The sequence below is a fragment of the Homo sapiens genome, chromosome 19 (genome assembly GCF_000001405.40).
Source record: "Homo sapiens chromosome 19, GRCh38.p14 Primary Assembly".
Taxonomy (NCBI): domain Eukaryota; kingdom Metazoa; phylum Chordata; class Mammalia; order Primates; family Hominidae; genus Homo; species Homo sapiens.
The window spans coordinates 14,710,703-14,728,508 of record NC_000019.10 but is presented as its reverse complement, the minus strand read 5'-3'; the positions used below and the strand labels follow the sequence as shown (position 1 = coordinate 14,728,508).

Sequence of the window (17,806 nt, the reverse complement as noted above, 5' to 3'; positions counted from 1 at the left end):
TAAACATAAGACAAAGTTTCTACATATCCTAGCAAGATAACATGACCATTTAAAAACTGATATGAAGCTACAGAAGAGACCTCAGGGATGAGAGGAGAAGACCACCCCCACAACTTCAGCCAGACCTCAGAGAAACAGACTGTCATCACACCCTAGCATAAGAAGAGACACTAAGCAGCGAGGTTTCTGTCTTCAGCCTGTAGATAGAAAAAATATTCGAAGAATTATCTCATGCCTTTACCAAGTCTCAGCTCAAATTTTGCAGCTTGAGTATTCTGAAAAAAAAATTTTTTTTTGAGACGGAGTCTCGCTCTGTCGCCCAGGCTGGAGTGCAGTGGCACAATCTCGGCTCACTGCAAGCTCCGCTTCCCAGGCTCACGCCATTCTCCTGCCTCAGCCTCCCGAGTAGTTGGGACTACAGGCGCCCACCACCACACCCGGCTAATTTTCAGTAGAGATGGGGTTTCACCGTGTTAGCCAGGATGGTCTCGATCTCCTGACCTCGTGATCCACCTGTCTCAGCCTCCCAAAGTGCTGGGATTACAGGCGTGAGCCACCGCACCTGGCCAAATATATTTTTAAGTACTGGAAATTTTTATAAACTCTGAATTCCAAGGTAAGATAGCTCAGTTTACTTTATAAAGGTGTACCTGCATGCATGTATACATAAGCCATTGATTTTCCACCATTGTGGGCAAGAGGGTATAAGGTGAGACTTAACATTAAATGGGATTAAAGGAAATGATTAGGATACTGGGACTCTTAAGTTTGTAAATCACTGCCTCAGATATTTGGTTATATTTAACTAATAGGTACATGATATAGTTTGGATGTTTGTCCCCTCCAAATCTCACACTGAAATGTAATCCCCAGTGCTGGAGGTGGGGCCTGGTGGGAGGTGTTGGATCATGGGGGCAAATCGCTCATGAATGGTTTAGTAATCCCTTTGCTGTAAGTCAGTTCTTGCTCTGGTAGTTCACACCAGATCAGGTTGTTTAAAAGAGTATGGAACGTCTCTACTCTGTCTCTTGCTCCTGGTCTCACTATGTGATGTGCCTGCTCCCGCTTTGCTTTCTGCTGTGATTACAAGCTTCCTGAGGCCCTCACCAGAAGACAAGCAGATGTTGGTACCATGTTTGTGCAGCCTGCAAAACAGTGAGCCAATTAAACCTCTTTTCTTGGGCCGGGCTTGGTGGCTCACACCTGTAATCCCAGCATTTTGGGAGGCCAAGGCGGGCGGATCACAAGGTCAGGAGATCGAGACCATCCTGGCTAGCACGGTGAAACCCTGTCTCTACTAAAAATACAAAAAAATTAGCCAGGCGTGGTGGCGGACACCTGTAGTCCCAGCTGCTCAGGAGGCTGAAGTGAGAGAATGGTGTGAACCCAGGAGGCGGAGCTTGTAGTGAGCCAAGATTGCGCCACTGCACTGTCTGGGCAACAAAGCAAGACTCCACCTCAAAAAAAAAAAAAAAAAAAAAAAAGCCTCTTTTCTTTATAAATTACCCAGCCTCAGGTATTCCTTTATAGCAACGCAAGAACAGGCTAATACAGAAAATTTCTGAAAATGTGAAAGCAGCTTTAGAACTGTGTAACAGGCAGAAGTTGGAAGAGTTTGGAGGGCTCAGAAGGAAGAAGGAATATGAGAGAAAGTTTGGAACTTCTTGGAGACTGGTTAAAGGGTTGTGACCAAAATACTGGTAGAGATATGGACAGTGAAGGTCAGGCTGAGGAGGTCTCAGATGAGGAACTTACTGGGAACTGGAGCAAAGGTCAGCCTTGTTATTCCCTGGCAAAGGACCTGGCAGCATTGCGTCTATGTCCTAAGGCTTTCGGGAAGTTTGAACTTAATAGTAATGACTTAGAGAGTGTCTGGTGGGAGAAATTTCTAAGCAGCAAAGTGTTCAAGGAGAGGCACGGCTGCTTCTAACAGCTTACAGTCAGATGTGGGAGCAAAGGAATTAAAGTTGAACATTATATTTAAAAAGGGAAGCAGAGCATAAAAACTTGGAAAATTCTCAACCTGGCCATGCGGTAAAGAAGGAAAGAGCATTTTCGGGGGAAGAATTTAAGAGGGCTGCAGAACCACCACTTGCTGAAGAGACTAACGTGACTAAAAGGGAGCCAAGTGCTAAGATCCAAGACAAAAGGAAAAAGGCTTTGAAGGCATTTCGGGGATCTTCCAGGCCACCTCTCCCATCACAAACCCAGAAGCCTAGGAGAAAAGAATGATTTAGCGGGCCAGTTCCAGGGCCCCGCTGCCCTGTGCAGCCTTTGGACACCATTCTCCACGTTCCAGCCACTCAAGGCTCCAGCCTTGGCTCAAAGGGGCCCAGGTATAGCTTGGGTTGCAGCTCTGCAGGTTGCAAGCTGTAAGCTTTGGTGGTTCCAGGTAGTATTAAGCCTGCAGATGCTCAGATTGCAAGCATGAAGGAGGCTTAGTGGCTTCCACCTAGATTTCAAAGGATGTATGGAAAAGCCACGGTGCCCAGGAAGGAGACTGACATTGGGGCATAGCTCCCACAGAGGAACTCTATTAGGATTGGATTCCCCCGTACCCCCACAAGAATCCCTACCAGGGCACTGCCTAGTGGAGCTGGAGGGCCACCTCCCTCCAGACCCCAGAATGGTAGATTCACTGGCAGCTTGTGCCCTCTGCCTGAAAAACCTGCAGGCACTCAACTCCAACCCATAAGAGCAGCCATGGGGGTTGCACCCTGCAAAGCCACAGGGCTGGAGCTGCCCAAAGCCTTGAGATCCCATATCTTGCACTAGTGTGTCTTGACGCAGGACATGGAGTCAAAGGAGATTTTGGAGCTTTAAGATTTAATGACTGCTCTTCTGGGTTTACAACTTGCATGAGGTCTGTTGCCTTTTTCTTTTGGCCTGTGTCTCCCTTTTGAAATGAGAATGTTTAACCAGTGCCCATACCACCATCTTCTCTTGGAAGTAAATAACATGTCTTTGATTTCACAGGCTCACGGGGAAGGAATTCATCTTCAGATGAGACTTTTGACTTGGGACTTGGGACTTTTGATTGAGTTGATGGTGGAACAACTTATGACTTTGGGGAGGTATTTAGAAGGGATGATTGTATTTTGCAATTTGAGAAGGTATTGAGATTTAAGGGGCAGGGGCAGAATAATATAGTTTAGATGTTTGTCTCCTCCAAATCTCTTGTTGAAATGTAATCCCCAATATTGGAGATGGGGACTGGTGGGACGTATTCGGATCATGGGGGCAAATCCCTCATGAATGGCTTAGTGTCATCCCCATGGTGCTGTCAGTTCTCACTCTAGTAGTTCATGCGAGATCTGGTTGTTTAAAAGAGCATGCAATCTCCCCTGCCTGCTCGCTCCCATTCTCATCATGTGATGTTCCTGCTCCTGCTTCACTTTTTGCCATGATTGTGAGCTTCCTGAGGCCCTCGCCAGAAGCTGAGCAGAGGCTGGTGCCATGCTTGTAGAGCCTGCAGAACCGTGAGCCCGTTAAACCTCTTTTCTTTATAAATTACCCAGTCTCAGGTATTCCTTTTTAGTAATGCAAAAACAGACTAACACAGTACATCTCTCCCTAAAAGTGCTTGGTATTTGCCTACATTTATGAAGAACATAGCATTAAATACAGCACCAAATAGGTGCTCAATATTTTCACGGAAAGAATTAATGCACATGTGTAAGAATCAAGCAGCACAGTCACCTAATGAGGAATAGCCAAATTTTTAAACAAAGTTTTTCTTTTTGAGACAAAATTTCACTCTTGTTGCCCAGGCTGGAGTGCAATGGCATGATGTCGGCTCACTGCAACCTCCGCCTCCTGGGTTCAAGCAATTCTCCTGCCTCAGCCTCCAGAGTAGCTGGGATTACAGGCTCCCGCCACCACACCCAACTAATTTTTGTATTTTTAGTAGAGATGGAGCTTCACCATGTTGGCCAGGCTGGTCTCGAGCCCCTGACCTCAGGTGATCCACCCGCCTCGGCCTCCCAAAGTGCTGGGATTACAGGTGTGAGCCACTGCGCCCGGCTTAAACAAACTTTTTAATGGAGAAAATGTCATCCAATAAATCAACCAAGTGTGACCCATCCTCGTGTGAGCCATCCTAGAACATCACCCACTGTGGACCAGGTTGCCAGTGTTATAACCATGTGCTCCCCAAGTGAATCAGTAAGAGAAGCTATGTGGGGAAGAGCAATGTATGATCTTACTGTGCTAGGTTTGAAGGCATCAGGCACAGCCCTTCTAAAGTGTGTGTATTTCTCAGACCTAGCTCTTCTCATTCTGATCTTTTTGAACCATTTCTTGTTTTGTCCCCAGACCTGCTAGAGGCAAAGCATCTTCTGGGTCAGCTCATTAAGATAGGCAAGGACAAGAAGAGTCTTGAGTGGGACCTAGACAGTGGCACCTGTTGACTGAAAAGGCAGTACACCAAAAGATGGAGACACCCTGCAGGGTGTTGATGATGGTGAAGAGATAGGCAAGAGCATAGCAACTGGGCCCACCTGCAGAATGCCCAAACACCAGGTGCAGCCCAAGATGAACAGCTGATCTGTCACCTTGAATGTCAGCATCCTGGATTGGATGAGAAAAGAGGCCCATAATATACCCATAATAACAAAGGCTATTTCATCTCCATCCCATGGATATCTCTGCCCTCTCCTGTTGGTCATTTCTCACACTTGAGTTTTGATCAACCTAGATCTTTACTGTTGATAATTCCCCACAAAAGAAATGCCATTTGGATCCAGGAAAGCATTTTAACTTGGACCAAGGAGAGTAGTGACACTTCATAATATGGGTTGCAAAAGAAGTGTGATGATCAACACAAAAAAACAGTTGCATTTCTATGCACTAACAATGAACAACCCAAAAAGGAAATTGAGAAAACAAATCCATTTACAACAGCATTAAAAACAATAAAATACTTTGGAATTAACTTAACCAATGAGATGAAGAACCTGTACACTGAAAGCTAAAAAGCATTGCTGAAAGAACTTAAAAGAGACACAAATAGACATACTATGTTCACGGGCTGAATGACTTAATATTTTTGCAGAAACAGAAAAATATCCATCCTAAAACTCATATGAAATCTCAAGAATACCAAACCAAGAAGTCAAAACCATCTTGAAAAAGAACAGAGTTGGAGGTCTCACACCACACTTATTTCAAAATTTATTGTAAAACTACAGTAATCAACACAATACGGTAATGGCATAAAGATAAGACATATAGACCAATGGAATCGAGGAGGGAGCCCAGAAATAAAACCTCACATTTATAGTCAAATGAATTTTGACAAGGGTGCCAAGACCATTCAATGGGGAAAGGACAGTCTTCAACAAATGGTGCTGGGAAAACTGGATATGCACATGCAAAAGAATGAAGTTGGACTCTTTTCTTACTCCATATATAAAAATTAACTTGGCTGGGCATGGTGGCTCACACCTGTAATCCCAGCACTTTGGGAGGCTAAGGCAGGCAGATCACAAGGTCAGGAGATCAAGACCATCCTGGCTAACATGGTGAAACCCCATCTCTACTAAAAATACAAAAAAATTAGCCAGGCATGGTGGTATGCGCCTGTAGTCCCAGCTACTCAGGAGGCTGAGGCAGGAGAATCACTTGAACCGGGGAGGCGGAGGTTGCGGTAAGCCAAGATTGCGCCATTGCACTCCAGCCTGGGCAACACAGCAAGACTCCGTCTCAAAAACACAAAAACGAACAAACAAACAAACAGAAATTAACTCATAATACATCAAAGACCTAAATGCAAGAGCTGAAACAATAAGACTCTTAGAAGAAAACATAGGGGGTAAGCCTCACGACATTAGATTTGCAATGATTTTTTGGATATGACATCTAAAGAAAACAAAAAATATCTATAAGTTGGACTACACCAAAATCTTAGACTTCTGCATATCAAAGGATACAATTAATAAAGTAAAAAGGTAACCCCTAGAATGGGAGAAAATATTTGCAAATCATATATCTGATAAGGGGTTAATATTCAGAATATATAAAGAACTTCCACAACTCAACAACAACAAAAAACTAATTTAAAAATGGTCAAAGGACTTAGACATTTTTCCACAGATGACATACAAATGGTCACAACTAAGAAGGAAAAGCCCAACGTGTGTTCTTCCAGCCTCTGCTTCTGTCATGTTTGTCAACACTCCATTGGCCAAAGAAAGTCACATGACCAAGCTCGTCTTCAAGGTTTGGAGAAATAAACTCCACCTCTTGATAGGAGGAGCTGCAAAGTCACATGGAAAAGACATATACATAGAGGGATAGAAGAAGTCATTGTGGCAACCATCTACCACTGCATCATTACTTATCAAGAATATGCAAATTAAACCTAAGAAACTGCTGCATACCCACTAATGTAGCTCAAATTAATTTGCGTGACAGTACCACATGTTGCCAAGGATGTGAAGCAATGAAACTTTCATTCATTGATGTACAAATTGAGGTGTAAATGGTTTCAACCACATTGAAAAACTGTCTGGCAAGATCTACTAAAGCTAAAGATAGGTCTCCTCCAAAATCCAGTAATTCCATTCCTACATTTATACTCAAGAGAAATGAATACCTATGTCCACAGTATGACTTAACAAGAACATTCACAGCAGCTTTATTCATAACAATAAAACCTGCAGGATTATTCACAATAGCCAAGATATGGAATCAACCTAACTGTCCATCGGTGGATGAATGGATAAAGAAAATGTGGTATATCTACACAATGGAATACTATTCAGCCTTGATGAGGAAGGAAATTCTGTCATTTGTGATAACATGGATGAACCTGGAGGACAGAACTCAAATGTTTGTAAACAGAATAGAATTTTTAAATTGTGGTATATTCAGACTATGGACTATTACACAGCAATTAAAAAGCATAAACTACTGATAATACAACATAGATAAATCTCAATGACACTATATTAAGTGAAGAAAACAGACACAAGAGGGCTGTTTATGGTTCCATTTACATGAACAGGAAAAACAAATCTATGGTGATAGACATCAGAATAGTGATAACCTTTGAGGATGAGGTGGGGCCCAAGGGAAATTTCTGGGACGATAAAATATTTTGATGGAGACCGTGGTGGGTATAGACATATACAAAATTCACCAAGGTGTACCCTAAGATTTATTAACGTTTATGTAAGTTATACCTAAGAGAACTTTAAAACCAAAAAAAAAAAAAAAAAAAAAAAAAGAACAAGTAAAAATGGAGACTAGTCCCCTGGGTCTGCCACTGTAGAGAGAGTCAGGCCTGTCACATGCCACCCAGATGACTTTGATAGCCCACCTTAACTTGCTGGGCCTCAGCTTCCTCATCTGGGAATTGGGGATAACAGTACATACCTCAAAGTGTCAGTGTGAGGACTAAATTAAAAGATGCAAAGCTTCAGGCAGTGGCTACTATCTATTAATAGTAAACTCTAAATAAGTATTTACTATCATTACAATGAATGGTTGAATGTTCAGTAATAGGGAAAAGGATGATCACTTTATAAGAATAAAAGTAACAATTTGTTGGAAATGTAAAAAATGTCAGTATCTATATTTAATTTCATTGCTTCAAAACATATATATGTATGTATATACATAAATTTAAAAACTGACAGAATGACAAAGATTTTTCAGCAATACATAATCATGGTGGGAGAGTTTAACATACCTCTCTCAATAAATGCTAGATCACAGATCAACATTTATAAATGTGTAGATGGTTTTTAAACACATTTGCTTGATCTAGCAGACATTTGTAGAATACAATACATTGATTTCAACCATCCATGAAGCATTTATAAAAACTGACATATACTAAGTGCATCAGTTAGGAATTATATTCAGGTGAAATAAACCTCCCACCAAAAACAAAAACAAACAAAAGAAAACTGTACCAGTAAGAAGTGCATATTTTTCATGTATGGGACATCCAGAAATAAATAGTCCAGGGCTGCTGCAATCACATAAATATGCCAATTCTATTAAATCTATCCTAAATATTTTTTAGATTACAGAAGCAAGATGGTTATGACTTCCGGCCACCCTCTTCTTAGCTTGCGGCTTTTACCCTTATGGTCACAGGAGGGCTCCTCTAGGTCTAGAAATCATGTCTACTTGTCCAAAAGGCAAGAAGTGGAGAGATGTGGCTACATGAAACCATCCCTGAACACAATATCTTCCCCAGAGTCACATCCAGTGACTTCTCATATTCATACTAGCCAGGACCGGAGGAAATGGCCTGCCCTTGCTTGCAAGAAGGGCTGGGAGATGGAAGCTTTTTTTTATTATTATTATTTTTGAGACAGAGTTTCACTCTGTTGCCCAGGCTGGAGTGCAGTGGCGCAATCTCGGCTCACTGCAACCTCTGCCTCCTGGGTTCAAAGAATTCTCCTGCCTCAGCCTCCCAAGTAGCTGGGATTACAGGTGCATGCCACCAAACTTGGCTAATTTTTATATTTTTAGTAGAGAGGGGATTTCACCATGTTGGCCAGGCTGATCTCGAACTCCTGACCTCAGGTGATCCCCCAGCCTCAGCCTCCCAAAGTGCTGGGATTAGAGGCATGAGCCACCGTGCCCAGCCGGGAGATGGAAGCTTTTTAATAGTGCACACTGCCAATCTGAACAGAAAACCCAGGTTCTTTTCTAAGGAGGAAGGGGTAATTTGGGTTGGCAGCTAGAAGAATAAGCCACACCAGACCTAATAGCAAATCTCAGCAAATACCTATGACTCAGTAACAAAGAGGCCACATACTCTTCTCACCATGTAATTAAATTAGAAACCAACAACAAAAAGGCAACTAAGAAATAGCCATATAACATGCAGGAACCTTCCAGAGAGATAGAAACATTCTATATCTGGAATGGGGTGGTGGTTACATGCATGTATGCATCTGTCAAACTCATCCAACTGTACACTTCAGATGTATGCATTTCACTATAAGTCATTATACCTCTATGAAAATATATCCACATATTAGTTTTGAAAAATCTAATTCCAAATAATAGATGGGTCAAAGAATAAACGATAATGGAGGTTAAGACAATACTTACAATTAAACCAAAATGAAAATATTATACATTGAAACACAGGATGCAGCTAAAGGAGTATTACGAGGGAAAGTCATAGCCCCATGTGTTTATATTTTTACAAAATGGAAGTTAATTAGCAAGGGGCCCACAGTATGGATGAGACATGGATAAAGGCAGGCTGCCATTCCTAATGGTCTCTCTTCCCACATGGGTTCTTTTGTGTACAGTGAGTGAGGAGCTGTGCCTGAAGGCTTTCTCACACTGATTACATTGATAGGGTCTCCCGGCACTGTGTGTTCTCACATGTACAATAAGATGTGAAGACTGACCAAAGGCTCGCCCGCATTCCTGGCATGCATAGGGCTTCTTGCCACTGTGAGTCCTTGCATGTTTCCTGAGGGATGAGGGCTCACTGAAGGCTCGCCCACATTCCTGGCACACATAGGGCTTCTCTCCAGTGTGAGTTCGCATGTGACTCTTCAGGGTTGAAAGACGACTCAAGACCTGACCGCAAGTCGCGCACTCATACAGTTTCTCCCCTGTGTGTATCCTCTTGTGCACGTTCAGATGAGTGCTCGTCCGGAAGGGCTTGCCACACTGGTTGCATTCATATGGTTTCTCTCTGGTATGGGTTCGCAGATGTGTCTTCAGTGAAGAGTGTTCCCTGAAGGCTTTCCCACACTGGCTGCATTCAAAGGGCTTCTCTCCAGTGTGAGTTCTCACGTGGCTCCTGAGGGATGATGGCTGATTGAAGGCTTTCCCACAATCTTTACACTCGTAGGGCTTCTCTCCTGTGTGGTTTCTCTGGTGCAAAATCAGGTTAAAGTTCCTCGTGAAGGTTTTCCCACACTGACTACATTCAAATGGCTTCTCTCCGGTATGGGTTCTCATGTGTCGCCGGAGATTCGAGGAATATTTGAAGGCTTGCCCACATTCTTGACAGTCAAAGCACTTCTCTGCAGTATGAGTCTTCTCATGCCTGATAAGGTCAGAGCTGTATCTGAAGGATTTTTCACATTTGTTACATGCATAGGATTTATCCCCACTACGGATTTTCTCGGGCACAATTAGGTGGGCACTCTGGAAGAAGGAATTTCTAATCTCTTGACATTCACAGGATGCCTCTCCAGCATGAATTCTCTGGTACTGGAAAAGTGGTTCAATGCTGTTAAAAGGTTTCTCAAGTTCATTATATTTATAGAGTTTTTCTCCAGGCTGAGGTTGCTCCTGTCGATGAAGGAAAATGTGAAGACCAAAGGCCTTATTAGATTCACAGATATTCTCCCCTATGTGAAATGAATGTAAGAAAAAGACAGTTCTATATCTGATACTTTTACCATTTATGGAGTCCATACCATTTCTATCCAGAGTTCCTTCAAGTGGAATAGGGTGGATACTCTGTTGCAAAGAGCTATCTTTTCATTATTTTCATGCAGCTTCTTAGATGCAGAATTTTTCCAATTTGTGTAAGGCTAAATTAAGTCTTAAACACTTTGTATGTGTCATATCTGTGAAAATGCTTACTTGTACGAACATGATCTACATTTAGTTTTCCACCAATTCATGACATTCACGGACTCTCTCCCAAGAAACTGCTTCCTTCTGGGTAAACACTTCTTGCCTCGAATCGCTCTTGGCTCTTGGGCTGCTTTTCTAACTTACGGTTAACCCCAGACTCATCCTACTATAGAGAACCATGAATAATCCCTGGTGAGCCTTACCCCTTTCACATCAATGGACAGGATCTCTGTAAAAGTATCTTGGCTAGGAATTGCCTCTTGGGGTTGACACTGAGGTTCTGAAATGAATTAGGGAAGAAAAAGTTAAGCACACAGAGAAAGAAACTGTGGGATCAAGGTCACCTCAAAAGTAGGCAAGGCACATGTGGACTTTTTTTCCCAAATACTGGTCCTATGTACGGGAAGAAATTGCAATGAGAAGGAATGCATCTAAAAGTTAAGGAAAATTTTAAGGTGTGTGGCTAGATGAGAAGTTATGTAATCAGAGGAACATGGGAAGGAAATAGTAGGTAATTTACCAAAAAAGGATTCTACAAAGATTGTGACTAATGTTGAGGAAAAATATTAGCAAGAATGTACAGTGGGGAGGAAATGGATAAAATATACACATGGAAATATTAAATATGAAGAGAAAGTAGGACAGATCTTTCTAGGAGATGAATGCAAAGTTTTAGAGATTAAAAAGGAAAGGGAAAAAGGAAAGAAGGTGGCATTTAATAAGGGAGCTCAACCAAACAGGCTTCTCAGTCAAAGGTATGAATAGGTTGCCCTGATAAGACAGTTTCCAAACTGGACACTCCCCTTACTGACCAGAGCTGATGCTCACCTGATCTGCCTGGGCTCACCTGCACAGGTGTCTGAGAGGACGCCCCTGTCAGTGGTCCACTGCTCTCCTCTTTCTTCCAAATAAGACAACGCATTGGGTTTGCACAGTTGATCAGCTGCTCATGAGAAAAAAACACATGTTGTGCGAGGACTGTGCCATGCCCTGACACCAGGGCCGATATTCTCAAGTCTTTAGGGGCTCTAGAGATGGGAGTGGCAAAATGCATGTGCCTAAATTCTGATGGCCACAGCCAAACTCTTCCACTGAGCAACTAAATACAAGTTCCCTCACTAGGTCTCAGAGGACACTGAGGCTCTCCGGTCTACAAAACCAAGGGCCTAGCTAAGGAATACCTTTGAGAAGCCCAAAAACTTTTAGTCACAGAAAGACAGGGCAGTAAAAAGATCTTCATTCCATAGAAAGGCCAGTAAGTAGACTGGAAGCTCATGAAGGTGGGAATTATCTTTTTTTTCACCACTAGGTTTCCCAGACTTGCACAATTTCTAGAGCTTATGGTTGGTACATAAATGTGATGAAAAGGCAAAGCCTTGGCCAGGCACAGTGGCTCATGTCTGCAATCCCAGCACATTGTGGGGCTGAGGCAGGTGAATCACTTGAGCCCAGAAGTTCGAGACCAGTCTGGGAAACATGGCAAAACTCCATCTCTACAAAAAAATACAAAAATTAGCCAGGTGTGATGATGCACCCTGTGGTCCCAGCTACTCGGGAGGCTGGGGTGGGAGGATCACCTGAGCCCAGGAAGCGGAGGTTGCAGTGAGCCAAGGTCACGCCATCACACTCCAGCCTAGGCAACAGAGCAAGACTCTGTCTCAAAAAAAAAAAAGGAAAGAAAAGATGAAGCTGCCTTACCCACAGAGGCCAGGTTCCTGTAGTTCTCCAGCATCACATCTCTATACAGGCTCCTCTGAGTAGAGTCCAGAAACACCCATTCTTCTGGGGTGAACACCACAGCCACATCTGCAAAGGTGACTGGTTCCTAAAACACACATCCATCCCGGCTCAGCCAGGGACCACCCCCACCAGTACGCCAGAGGATGCTGGAGGCTGGCAAGCCTGGGGAAGGGAAAACCCAGGCAGAGGACTTTCAGACAGGGTTCTGAGATCCCGCAGAATCTGGCCCTTAGCTCAGGACTCTGAACTAGAACTCCTCTCTCTACTCTCCACTCCTTAAGTAAGAACAGCAAGAGGCAATAACTAATGTTGCAAGTCCTCGACCTCTGGACAGGACTTATCTATTGACAAGGAGCCAGGAAGCTCTTACAGATTTGTCCCCCTTCTAGCTCCAGGGTCCAGCAGACCTGAGCATGGTACAGGCAAGAGGGAACTATCTGGAAAATGACTCAACTCTTTGTTCAGTGAGACCATGAAGACCACAAAATGAGGACAGCTGACATCCTTGCTTTGTTTTCCCTCCTGGTGCTCAGCAGCCTGGGGAGGGTCTGAATGAGGTGGTGGGATCATGGCCCATGCTCCCTTGCTGACACCCACTGCAAGAGGCCCAGTCCCTGAAAGCATGGAGACCAACCCTATGAGATGATCCAGACAGGTCACAGGAAGAAGGTAAGTCCAGCCTTTGGGCACAGCAGTGTTCTTTTAGAACAAGAAGTTCTTACCTACCTGTGAACAGGCGGTTGGCAGCCCAGGAGCCATAGCTTCTTCCTCCACTTTGTCCTCCTGAAGCCAGGCAGGGTCACGTGCAGGCACAGCTAGGGGAGAAGGGAAGAGGCATGAGGGTTGGTGCCTGGCCTACTGGGCACACTCACAGGCCCCAAGTCTGCCCACCCTGGCTGTGAGTGATCACATGTGTACACACACACATGCACACACTCACAGGGACACACACATGCAGACACATATCTGCAAGCTCTTGCACACGCATGCATGCAATCACATGCACACACGTACACAGACATGCACACATATACACACAAACACGCACACATATACACAGTTACATACCACATGCACCTGTTCATATATATAACATATACACACAGACCAGCACACAAAGAGACATATAGACGTGCACACACACACACACACACACACGCACGCCTTCATTCCATATCCCAAGAGCCATAGACTCCATAATTCACCAGGAGACTCCAAAGCTCCTGCAGCCCCCACCACTGTCCCGACTCAGCTTTGGGACAGCTTTTCCTCCCCGGCTGCCTGGCCCCTTTCTCTGCCCCTCTACACTGCAGGGCTAGTGGTGCTCCAGGACTTACCACAAATCAAGGGCAGATAAACCACAACCAACCTGCAAGTCTGCCTTAAAAAGAAACTTCCTTCCCACCTGCCTTCAAATCAACACCACTCCTCGCTCTGCACCAGGCATCCTCCTTCTGGCCTATGACAGACAAGCAAGCAACTCCCAGATCATCCCTCATCCCCTGCATCCTCACCTCTCCCTCCCGATGGGACCTTTCCCCTCACTTTTTTTAAACCTGACCCACACCCAATCCCTGACCCCACATGTGTTTTCTGCAGCTGCCGTAACAAAGTATCACAAACTGAGTGGCTTAAAACCACAGAAATGTATCCTCTCGCAGTTTTAGAGACGAGGAGTCCAAAGTTAAGCTCAGCAGGGCCACGCCTCCTCTGACGCTCTGAGAAGAGTCCTTCCTTGCCCCTCCCTGGCTTCTGGTGGCGGCCATCGACACTTGGGGCTCCTTGGCTTGTGGATGCATCACTCCAATGTCTGCCTCCACCGTCGCACGGTCCCCTCCCTGCGTGTCTGTCTTCACGTGGCGTCTTCCTCTTCTCATAAGGACACAGTCATGTTGGATTGGGGCCCAACCTTGTGACCTCCTAACTTGGTTACAGCTGCAAAGACCCTATTTCCAATAAGGCCACATTCACAGGGTTAGGACTTCAGCATGTCTTTTTGGAGGGGCACAATTCAAGCCATAACACCCCACTTTTCCCTTGGGCTACCTCTATCTCTTCATTCCCTATCATGGGCTATCTACCCTCTGTGCCCACTTCCTCCCCTCCCACTTGCTTCCCATCTCCACCGTTCCAAGGGCTGGCACCACCCTGGAATCACCAGTGACCTCCATCCGTGCTGGGAAATCCCACTGATGTGTGCTCATCATCCAATCTCTCCTGGGTTTGTTGTTGTTTTGAGCCAGAGTCTTGCTCTGTCACCCAGGCTGGAGTGCAGTGGCACAATCACAGCTCACTGCAGCCTCAAACTCCTGGGCCCAAGTGATCCTCCCACTTCAGCCTCCCAAGTAGCTGAGACTACACGTGTGCACCACCACACCCTGTTAATTTTTTTTTTATTTTTTTAGAGATGGGGGTCTCACTATGTTGCCCAGGCTAGCCTTGAATTCCTAGCCTCAAGCGATCCTCCCACCTCAGCCTCCTGAGTAGCCAGGATTATAGCTGCAAGCCACTGCACCTAGCCAATCCCTCCTTCTTGTAGCCCACCCAGCCTGTGATCAGTGATCACAACCCCAGCCTCCTCTTTTTCCTGTAAGAGCTTCTTCTCCAACATGTTGCTGGCGTCCACAGGTTGCAGGCCCTCCTCTTCGTGTCTCCCTCAATTCTCTCTGCCTTGGTGTGCAACCTCACCCATTCTCTGGGTGTCAATTCCCAAACTTCATGATGAAGCCCAAATCTCCAGGCTGACTCTCACATCTGAACACCAGACCATGTATCCAACCATTGGCTCAAATCTTTCTGCCCATCTAAGGGAACAGGAATAGAAGGTACCCAAAATGAGGTCCAGAGGTCAGAGCTTCCAACCATAGAGGATTTGTTCCAGGCCTGGAAACCTCATAGCATTTGCCCTGATGGGTTTTAAACTTGCTCAGGACCCATGACCCCTTTTTCTCCTTTTGAAATGGGAATGTCTATCCTTTGCTTGCCCCATCACCGTATTTTGGAAGCAGATCACTTGCTTTCTGATTTCTCACAGGTTCGCAGATGGAGAGGAATTTTGCCCCACAATGGACCACACTCTGAGTCTCCCTCATACCTGCTGTAGATGACTGACATGAAGAGTTGTGGGATTCTCATCAGATGAGATGAAACTTTGAGTTGATGGTGCTTAGATGAGATTTTGCACTTAGAGTTGACGCTGGAATGGATTAAAACTTTGGGACCACGTGAGTGTATTTTGCATGTGGAAAGGACATGAATTTGGGGGGACTAGAGAACAGACTGCTATGGTTTGAACTGTGAACCCCCCAAAAAAGAGAAGTCCTAACCCCCAGTACTTCAAAATGTGACCTTATTTGGAAATAGGATTGTTGCAGATGTAATGAGTTGAGACGACAGGAGAATAGGGTAGGCCCTTAATCCAATATGATGGTTCTCCTAACAGAAGAGACAGAGACAGATACACAGAGGTGACACAGCCATGAGGCAACACAGGCAGAGACGGGAGGGCTGCATCCACAAGCCAAGGAGCACCAAGGGCTGCAGGCCACTGTTAGAAAGCAGGTGGCAGGATCCTCCCCCCCGAGCCATCAGAGGGAGCACGGCCCTGTCGACACCTTAATTTCGGACTTTTGGTATCCTAAATTGTGAAAGAGAAATTTCTGTTACAAAAAAACTAGGCCAGGCACAGTGGCTCACACCTGTAATCCCAGCACTTTGGGAGGCAGAGGCCAGCATTATCATTTGAGGTCAGGAGTTTGAGACCAGCCTGGCCAACATGACGAAACCCCGTCTCTACTAAAAATACAAAAATTAGCTGGGCGTGGTGGCACACATCTGTAGTCCCAGCCACTCGGGAGGCTGAGGCACGAGAATCACGTGAACCTAGGAGATGGAGTTTGCAGTGAGCCAAGATTGCACCACTGCACTCCAGCCTGGGCAACGGAGCAAGACTATGTCTTAAAAAAAAAAAACACTCATCACCGTCCTCCCAAAGCCTGCTCTCCCTAACCATGTCCTCAATCTCAGGAAGTGCTGCCCCTGTCTTTGATCAGAAATCTCACCCCTCTCTGACACTCTACAGATCCCAGCAACTAATCAGAATAAATAGTGATGACGTCTCTACATGGCGGTACTCACCCCCAAGCCCCTCTCCCACCCATTCCCGCTACAGCCAACACCTACATAGAGCCTTTTCTTTTTGGATCCACTGAAACGTCGCCCTCAGAGTGCCCCATCCTGAGGTCTCCTCCCCTGTAGAAAGAGCCCCTTCTCTCCTTTTCTCTGATAGGACCCCTTCCCTTTCTTCGCAGCCCTTACCCATCTGTAACCAGCTATGTATTGCTGCCATGAGTGTTTCTTTTCTGTCATCCTCACTGGATTGGAAGCTTTGTAAGAATAAGCCTGGGTGCCTTTCACCATCCTGTCCCCGATACCTTACTTGGCACAAAAATGCTCCATGTCATTGGTAAATGAATACATGAACCACCAAATCAACTCAACCTCCTCAATATAAATGTTTTATATGCATTATTACTATAATTTTTTTGAGACAGGGTCTTGCTCTCTCACCCAGGCTGGACTAGCTCACTGCAGCCTTCAATTCCTGGGCTCAAGTGATTCTCCCTCCTCAGCCTCCTGAGTAGCGAGACCACAGGTGCACACAACCATGCCTGGCTAATTTTCTTATTTTGTAGAGATGGGGTCTCGCTATGTTGCCCAGGCTGGTCTCCAACTCCTGGCCTCAAGAAGTCCTCCCACCTCAGCCTCCCAAAGTGCTGGCCTCTATGTGTTTTAAATCATTCCTCACTTCCCTACTGTGCAGAAAGGCGTTAACCCAGCAGGCCTGGATGGGCTCCTTAATGAGATGTGTTTGCAAGGTTGGCCCTTGGGTGGAGTCTGGGAACTTGGATTTCAGGAAGGTTCCCGCCCCCCTAACTGGTAAGAGAAACTCGCTCCACTTAAACTGCTTGTACAAACAATGCAGTTTATGTTGAACACCTGCTTTCCTTCTGAAAGTCTGGAATTTAGGGACTGTTTGTTTCCTCCAAAACTCACACCAAAACGTTAATCCCCAGTGTCGGAGGCGGGACTTGGGGGCAGATCCCTCAAGAATTGATTAACGCTCTCCCTCAGAGAGAAGGAGTACTCTTCTACTACTTTCCAAGGAAGCTGGTTGTTAAAAAGAGCCTGGCACCTTTCCCCCTTCCCTTCCCTTCCCTCCCCCACTGCCCCCGCTCCTGCTTCCTCCCTCACCATGTGATCTCCGCACACTGGCTTCCCTTCCCCTTCTGACCTAAGTGGAAGCAGCCTGAGGCCCTCGCCAGGAGCAGATGTTGGTGCCGTGCTTCTTGTACAGCCCACAGAACCATGAGTCAGATACACTTCTTTTATTTACTTTTATTTATTTTTTTATTTTTTAAGAAGGAAATCTCACTCTGTCGCCCAGGCTGGAGTGCAGTGGCGCAATCTTGGTTCACTGCAACCTCCGCCTTCC

General features: G+C 45.2%; 2 protein-coding genes across 12 annotated transcripts in view; one reads left to right on the top strand and one right to left on the bottom strand.

Annotated features, from left to right (window-relative positions):
• The window catches only part of ADGRE2 (adhesion G protein-coupled receptor E2), a 54,390-nt gene extending 50,052 nt beyond the window's left edge, over window positions 1-4,338 (top strand). Inside the window, exon 20 of the mRNA XM_047438720.1 lies at window positions 4,315-4,338. Within this exon, the coding sequence (XP_047294676.1) occupies window positions 4,315-4,323 (9 nt within the window). The 3' untranslated portion in view covers window positions 4,324-4,338. The remainder of the gene's footprint in view (window positions 1-4,314) is intronic.
• The window catches only part of ZNF333 (zinc finger protein 333), a 43,956-nt gene that overhangs the window by 5,234 nt on the left and 20,916 nt on the right, over window positions 1-17,806 (bottom strand). For 7 of the 11 annotated variants that reach the window (XM_011528362.3, NM_001352239.2, NM_001352240.2 and 4 more), the window contains 5 exons: window positions 13,039-13,127; window positions 12,271-12,397; window positions 11,420-11,515; window positions 10,776-10,852; window positions 6,610-10,281 (listed from right to left, as the gene is read on the bottom strand). In XM_011528362.3, the coding sequence (XP_011526664.1) occupies window positions 9,184-10,281; window positions 10,776-10,852; window positions 11,420-11,515; window positions 12,271-12,397; window positions 13,039-13,127 (1,487 nt within the window). In that variant the 3' untranslated portion in view covers window positions 6,610-9,183. Of the gene's footprint in view, window positions 1-6,609; window positions 10,341-10,775; window positions 10,853-11,419; window positions 11,516-12,270; window positions 12,398-13,038; window positions 13,128-15,406; window positions 16,451-17,806 lie in introns of those variants that run through there. The other 4 variants (XM_011528371.3, NM_001352244.2, NM_001352243.2 and 1 more) reach the window with 4 other exon arrangements.